The following is a 7,796-nucleotide window of genomic DNA, read 5'->3' as shown; positions in this document are numbered from 1 at the left end:
CTGGCAAGGGAAGGGGTCTCAGAGGTGGAGGGAGCCCCCACCCCACAGCCCCAGCCTCCCAGGCAGCATAGGGTGGGGGCAGGAGCATACTGAAGTCCTGCCTTTCTTCCCTCAGCTTGCAATTTCAGCTGTGTGTGGAGCCTTGCTGGGCCTCAGTTGCCTTGTCTGTGATGTGGGTGTAGTGATAGTGTCCACTCTAGGAGGTGGTCACTTTGAGGATTCGATGAGGTCATCTGTGCAGCACACCTGCTCAGGGCCTGCGCGTGGCACTCCACAGAGCACAAGGCCAGCTCTACTCCTCCAGGCTGCTGCAAAGTGCTGCCAGTGCAGGGGCCTCTCCCTGGGGACTCAGGAAAGGCCAGAATCCATGAGGCTGTTGCTCTGGCCCTGCTGCCTGCATCGCTGATCCATCCTCAGCCTGAACCTCAAGGGCTGCAGCTCAGACACAGCTTTGCTGCTGCTTCCTAGGAACAGAGTGAGGACTCAAAGGGAGGTGCTGGGAGCAACCAAGGACATCAGTGCCTCCTTCTCAACCAGACACCCTGGGCTCTGAGCCCTAATGGTTCTCCCTCCCACTGTGGCCTAAGTGTCTTCACATTCAAGGCTCTGGCAGTCAAGAGGATTACATCTCAACATGAGATTTGGAGGGACCATCCAAACTATATCACACGGTAAGACATGATGTATGTTTATACACTTTATTGGACAATTCGTTTACTGACAGCCAAAAGCACCCTCACAAATACAAAGGCTCAACACTATCTGGGGAGTATTTCCAGCCTCATTTTCCACCACTGCCCTTTGATGCCTCTCTAGGTGAAAAGTGTGTTGCTTTCTCTTTGCTTTGGCTGCTGCCAGACCCCTCTAGTCTCCTCAAATTGGTGAACTCCTAGTCATCCTTTAAAGCCCAACTCAAATTCCCCCACCTCTGCAAAGGCTTCTGAGCTCCCCTAGGCAGAACTCAAAGCCCTGTCTTGCTGCCTTCAAATGTCTTCACTGTGGAATTTCTCACATCATTCTCCAGCCACTTGTCTGCTGGCCACTCTGCTGCACTGTGAGCTCTTGTGTGCCGCAGCCCTTTCTCCATGATCTGTTATCCCCTAGCATTGCACCTGGTATGCTGCAGTGCTGGTCAATGCTGCATATTGCATTACTGAAAACACTGCTTCCTCCAGGCCTCCTGTAACCCTTGGCTCTCCTGATGTTCTTGCCCAGCTGGGCAGGAAGGTGGTGCATCTCTCATGTCCCAGGGGAAACAAGCTCTCAGCGAGTGCACAGTATGGGAATAGGCTCCTGCTGCACCACACTGTCCCTGCTCTCTTCAACCCAGGTGGGATCCCTGGCCCAGACAGGAAAAAGGACATCCAAGGTCACCAGGCTGCTTGGAGCAGAGTGGGGCCTCCAGAATTGGGTAGGAAACACTGGGTGTGTTTCAGAGCTGGCACGACAGCTGTCCAAATTGACACAACAGTGCAGGAGGCAGGAGCTGTGGGAGTGTGGGGAGCTGTCAGGTGCTGAACAATGCCACCTGCCAGCCACTGAGGAGCAGAGGGGATGGGGAAATGGGGGGAGAGGGAGGGGAGTTTGGCACCGGGAATGGGCCTGGGATGCCTCCCCCAAGAACCCTCCCCTCACAAGCCCATGTCCCTCAGCCTCAGGAACCAGAGGGGCCATGGGTGAGGGGAAAGGAGCAAGAGAGCTGAGTCGGAGCTCACCCTGGGCAAAGGTGTGGACTGCTGGCTCAGGGTCCACTAGGGCTCCTTTGGGAAGCAAACAACCACCGGGGATTAGAGGACTTTGGAGACTAGGATGGTGCTTTGTCTGTCTGGGGGGCCGGGACCAGTGCCAGGAGTGTCATACATTGCTGGGGAGCTGGGCCAGGCTCCTGGGCTCCCACCCTGCTCCTCTGAGAGCGGACAGCAGGTTTGAGTAAGCGCTGTGCCCTCTGAGCCTTCCTGGAGCCCCATGGAGCTGGGATCCAGGTGCTGATCTGCCCTGGCCACAGCACACAGATGCTGAGAAGTCAGTGAGGCCTTTTAGGAAGGCAAGCTGCAGGCAGGGGCTTGCCTTCCTAAGACCTGAGCTCCCAGGCAGGGTGTGCAGGGGAGAAAAGGCCACAGGCTGCAGCCAGGAGTTGCTTTGTTTTTGTTTATTTATTAGAGTTTAAAGATTTTTTAAATTGTCCAAGAATATATCATTTTGTTAGAAAAACTTGAAGTATTACAGGCAGTGCTAATATGTCTCTTAACCACCTAACCCTCCCACAAAACAAATCTCTGTTTCTAGAGGTAACCACTTCAGCTACTACCGTTTAATAAAAATAATACATGCCACCCTCCGAAAAAAATACACTTCAAGCCATACCAAATGTCTAAGATAAAATGTTTCCCTTTCCCTAATAATCATGAACAATTTCTTGGGTACTCCTCTGGATCTTTTAAAACTCATATTCATATTCAGGCACCAGATATTTGTTGTTTTCTCATAAAGAAGAATCGATACTTAATGATAGGAATAATAGGTCCTGCTCTGCATCCTCCCCACCTCCTGGGTTCCTGTGACGCCTTGGCTTCTCCTTGCACACCCAGAGAGACCCAGCCAGGGCCCCGCACTTTCTTCACCCTTTTCCCTGGGGGTGGACGCCCGTGGTCTTTCCTGTTTCTTTCCCAGGCAGCACAGGAGAAGCACACATACCCTCAGTCCTGGGTGCATGTAGGGTGTCTGACCCTGAGATCGCCACTCAGCGGGTCCTGGGCAGCTTCCGCAGGGACTTGGCCTCTGCTTCCTCCACTGCAGCTGGGGGGTTGGACTGGATCTAGTCCATTCGAACCTCCCCAAGGATGGGCAGGGGGCACACCCCTCCCACTGTGCCTGTCCTAGCAGATGACACGGACCCGGAATGTGGGAGCACCAGGGGTTTGCTCTGGGCCAAACACCCCTGGACACCCCTGCTCCTCTGCCCCCACCCACTCTTTACTTCTTCTTTCCCTCCCAATACCACAAGTCCCCACGCCATGGCAGAGACAGGAGCCTGCGTGGCCAGCAAGCCCAGCGAAGGGGGCTCAGGTGTCATCTCCACCCCCAGCAGAGGAGGGAGAACACCCCCAGCCAGCTTTGCAGCTCCCCCATTTCTCCCTCTCCCGCTGCTGCTACTGGTTCAAAAGATAAAATAAAAACCCTCTGCATCAACAAATAAAATAAAATCACAATAAAAAATTTATATTCCTGGGATGTAGGTCTTTCCAAACAGGAGCAGCTGCTGCCAGAGCTGAGTTTGGCAGAAGCAGGGCCGGGCTTTTTTTCTTACTAGGAGTTTCTTTTTTGTTCTTTTTTTCCCAAGGAGGCACATCCAGTTAAATTACATTCCTGGAATGGGAGCTCCATGTGCTTTCCTGGTCATCAAAGCTGCCGTTTGTTAGCATGTTCTTTGCCTGTTATCTTGTTTGTTTGTGAGGATTGCTGGAGTTTCTTTTTTGAGATGGAGTTTTAGGCTGTTGCCCAGGCCAGAGTGCAGTGGCGCGATCTCACCTCACAGCAACCTCCACCTCCAAGGTTCAGGCAATTCTGCTGACTCAGCCTCCCAAGTAGCTGGGATTGCAGGCGTCTGCCACCACACCCAGCTAGTTTTTTGTTTTTAGTAGAGATGGGGTTGGATTGTTGGAGTTCCTGAGTGACAGGATGTTGCAGCAGAGGTGGTGAGTACAGGAGAGGGGGGTATCCACGAAGTCAGGAGAGCTGCCTAGCAACTGGAAGCCAAAGGGGTCAACCCACCAGCCCCGCTAGAGACAGCTGTCTGCAGCTCAGACCTCGTTGAATACGGCAGCCACTCATTTGGCTAAATGTGGGGATGCATTAAAGACATTTGCAGACATCCTTTCTTCTATTGCACCTTTTCTCACGAAACTTTTAGAAGCATTCTGTCAAAACTGCAGACTAGAACATGAGTCACCCCCTGCACGATGCCCAGTCCTGTCACTGGGCAGTTTCCTGAAAGCTGCTACCGTCCCCCATCTGAGTTCCGGATGCAGTGCCAAGCCTGGGCTGGGGGCAGGGAGGAGCTGGCCCAGTGAACGGAGCACAAACCACGACAGCCCAATAAGGGGTCCCCAGTGAGAGATAGAGCAAAGGGGTGCATTCAACATTCAAGTTCCCAAGACCCCTACAACACAGGCTGTACCCAGTGTTGGCATGTGGTAAGGGGCCTGTTGTGCAGGTTGGCCACTGCTCAATTAAAAAAAAAGTGGCAGCTGCCAGAGGCTGGCCTTGAACCAGGGAAGCTACCCACTCTTTAGCCAGCACTCTGCACTCTATTATGTGGCCATTACAGAATGAAAGTGTGGCCTGGATATTGCCCCAGACCTCGACCCTGAGAGCTCAGTGCCACTGGCTGCCCAGAGCCCCTCTCTGTCTGTCTCTCCTTGGCCTGTAGGAGAGTGTGGCCACAGGTAGTATCCAAAGCCTTTCCTTAGGGCCTTCTCCTGACCTATCCTGCTTCCCGGGCTCAGGGGACATCTCCCAGAGTTCCGACTGCATGACTGAAGATCCAGAGAGCCTCACGGAAGGGGTTGTGTGTTGTCTTTCCCACATCCCTTTCTTCTCTCTGTCCCTCTGCCCCTCTCCTTGCCTGGGAGAGCTCCAGAGTCACCTTCCTCCATCACAGAGCAATTGAGCTCCAGGCCAACAACCCTAAGATGGGCAAACCCAGCCCATCTTTGGCTCAGCCAAATCCTCCAGTTCCCAGCCACCCACCCACTTGCAAACACACTTATGTCTTCACCCCACAGGTGACCTGTGCCATACTCCTAGGAGTGTTCAAACTCTTGCCCCGTGCCACTCTATGCAGAGGGGCCGGCTTCCATCCATGGGACTAAAATGGTTGAATCCTTATGCTTTCGAGGCACAGTTCAACCAGGAGAGACACAGCTGGGACAGGAATAAAGGGGCGTATGGTGCTCTGGCTTTCCTGAATCATGAACCTGGAGCTCCAGCTGGCAGTGGCATGGGCTTACATGGACTTTTGGGGGAATAAGGGAGCAATTCAAACTCCTCTCCTGAGCAAGAGGAAACAGGGCTCAGGAGGAAGATCCTGAGTGTCTGTCCATGTCCCTCATCCAGGCCTGAATCACTGCTTTCTCCCCATGGACAAGTGAGGTGTGGAAACAGACCCAACCATGCCAGGGTGCGAGGACACCGGGATCTGGCAGTGGCTGTTCCTCAGGTCACACCCCTTTCTGGGTCCCAGGGTGACATCCATCCAGGGATGAGGCGAAATGGACTCTATGGGGAATGTAGAGCCAGTCACCACTCCCTGGCCACCCTAGCCTGGCTGTCTGGAGGGCTATTTGAAGAATTCTGATACGGCCTTGGCTCAGTAGGAACAAATGCAGCATGACAGGCACAGATGTGGTCAGATGTGGCCAAGGATTTGTCAGACCAGCCTAGATGCCTGTGAGATCCAGGCCTGGCATATGTTCATTGCTTCTCTGATCAGACAGCAAGTGCCACAAATGTGGCCACACACCATCCGAGGCCGCTCTGAGAGACCAGACTGGCTCTGGCGGCTCCAGAGGTCTGCTCTTGGGTCTTTTTTCCTGTGAGCCCCATTCCCGGAGGAGCAGCTGCAGCTCAGGGGAAGGGGTGATGCTCCCTCAGGGAACAGCGCCATGACTCTACGACAGTCAGTACTGGCAGCTGTCAGAGCTGTCATTCCCTGAGCGCAACTCTTAATGAGGGCCCATTAAGTCTCCTCTTATGACTGCATAATTGTTGCCATGAGGAGGCTTTGTTCTCTTTATTTTGGAAATGAAAGAGTTTTATATCCCTAAAGCAAGAGAGATGCACACCAGCTCGGGGCTTGCACTGGAGAACACAGAACGGCAGGGCAGGGGCTCCACTGGGTTGGGGCTCTGGTGTCCCCAGGCTACTGCAGACACATCCCAGAGCCCAGGGAGCAGCAGCTGTTGTTTCTGCAGCAGAGCGGAGCGGCCAGGTCAGCTCCAGCCCTCCTGTGAGCTGTGGGAAGTTGCCACAGGCCCACCAGCCCTCCTCACTTCTCCTGTAGCTCCCAGCAACTGTCATCATGAACCGTCTGCACCCTCACCACCCCTTAGGGGCTGGGCAGTGGTAGGGCTCTTATTCCCATTGATCATGAGAAAACAGAGGACACTGGTTGGCCTGGCCAGTGTCCCTCAGGTGTAAAGGAAGGATTAACAGGAAGAAGAAGTTGAGCATGTCCTATGTCCAAGGTACATCTGCTCTAAGTCTTCACATACACGACCTCACCTGCTCACTACCACAGGCTGCAGAGGAGGAGCTGAGCTCCCATGTTAAGGTGAGGCTTGGAGGCATTAGGTGAAGTGTCCAGTACAACAGCTTCTATGTGACCAGCTGGGCTTTCAGTCCAGACATTTCTACCTCTCCAGCTTCCCATCCTCAAGAATGTGGCTGGGCCAGACCCAGACTCTGAGGACATTCAGGGACACTGTGCCTCGCCAGCCCTCTGAAGTGCTCAGAACGCGTGTCCCGACCCCACTGCATGCCAGGAACCGTGCATTGGGAAGTGGGTGGACAGGAGAGACAAGACATGCTCCTTCCCCAAGAGGAGGCTGCAGGCAGCAAGGGAAACCCTTAGGTAAGCTCGGAACAGCCGTCCACCACTGGGACCATGAGCTGCATCCTGCCTTGGGGGGCTGTTTTGGTGGGAGTGTGCTGGGCAAAGAAGGGAAGGACATCCAGGCAGAGGGGACGCCTGGGCAAAGGCTCGAAGGTGCAGAGGCGAGAGGCATTTGGGAGCTGGTGAAGGCATTGGGGGTGGCCTCCAATTGAATAATATGCATTTAAGGTTCCTTCTTGTCTTTTCATGGCTTAAAAGCTCATTTCTTTTTAGTGCTGAATAATATTCCATTGTCTGGATGTACCACAGTTTGTCCACTCACTTACTCAAAGACATCTTGATAGCTTACAAGTTTTGGAAATTTGGAATAAAGCTGCTAAAAACATCCATGTGCAGTTCTTTGTGTGGATGTACATTTTCAACCCATTTGGATAAACAGAATGGACTTGCAGTTGCTGGATTACATGGTAAGAGCATACTTAGTTTTCCAGTTTCTTCTAAAGTGTCTGCACCACTTTGCATTCCCACCAATAGTGAATGAGAGTTCCTGTTGCTCCACATCATCACCAGCATTTGGGGTTGTAAGGGTTTGGATCTGGGCCATTTTGATAGGTGTGTAGTGCTATCTCATTGTTTTAATTTGCAGTTCCCTAATAGCATATGATGTTGAGCATCTTTTCATATGCTTCTTTGCCATTTGTATGTCTTCATTGGTGAGTTGTCTATTCTGGTCTTTTGCCCATTTTTAATTGGGTTATTCATTTGCTTATTGTTGAGTTTAAAGAGTTCTTTATACATTTTAGATAACAGTCCTTAAAAGAATTCATTGTTGGCTGGACATGGTGGCTTACCCCTGTAATTTCAGCACTTTGGGAGGCCGAGGCGGGCAGATCACCTGAGGTCAGGAGTTCGAGAACAGCCTGGCCAACATGGCAAAACCCTGTCTCTACTAAAAATACAAAAAAAATAAAAAATGAGCCGGGTGTGGTGGCACATACCTGTAGTCCCAACTATTCGGGAGGCTGAGGCAGGAGAATCCCTTAAACCTGGGAGGCAGAGGTTGCAGTGAGCTGAGATTGTGCCACTGCACTCCATCCTGGGCTACAGAGAGAGACTCCATCTCAATTTTAAAAAAATGTATTGTTTAGTGCATGTATTTATTTCCTTTTAAAAAGGTTTATTG

At 52.3% G+C, this 7,796-nt stretch overlaps 1 annotated feature.

Moving 5' to 3' along the window:
• Window positions 2,343-2,843: an enhancer, noted in NCBI's record as "H3K4me1 hESC enhancer chr2:96420911-96421411 (GRCh37/hg19 assembly coordinates)". NCBI's record gives its function as "activates a minimal SCP1, AML or CMV promoter by ChIP-STARR-seq in primed H9 embryonic stem cells {active_cell/tissue: H9 hESC(primed)}" and the evidence as "EXISTENCE:reporter gene assay evidence [ECO:0000049][PMID:30033119]".

This window comes from Homo sapiens, chromosome 2, assembly GCF_000001405.40.
Source record: "Homo sapiens chromosome 2, GRCh38.p14 Primary Assembly".
NCBI lineage: Eukaryota > Metazoa > Chordata > Mammalia > Primates > Hominidae > Homo > Homo sapiens.
The sequence above is the reverse complement of the archived record's forward strand: the minus strand, read 5'-3'. Positions and strand labels throughout refer to the sequence as shown.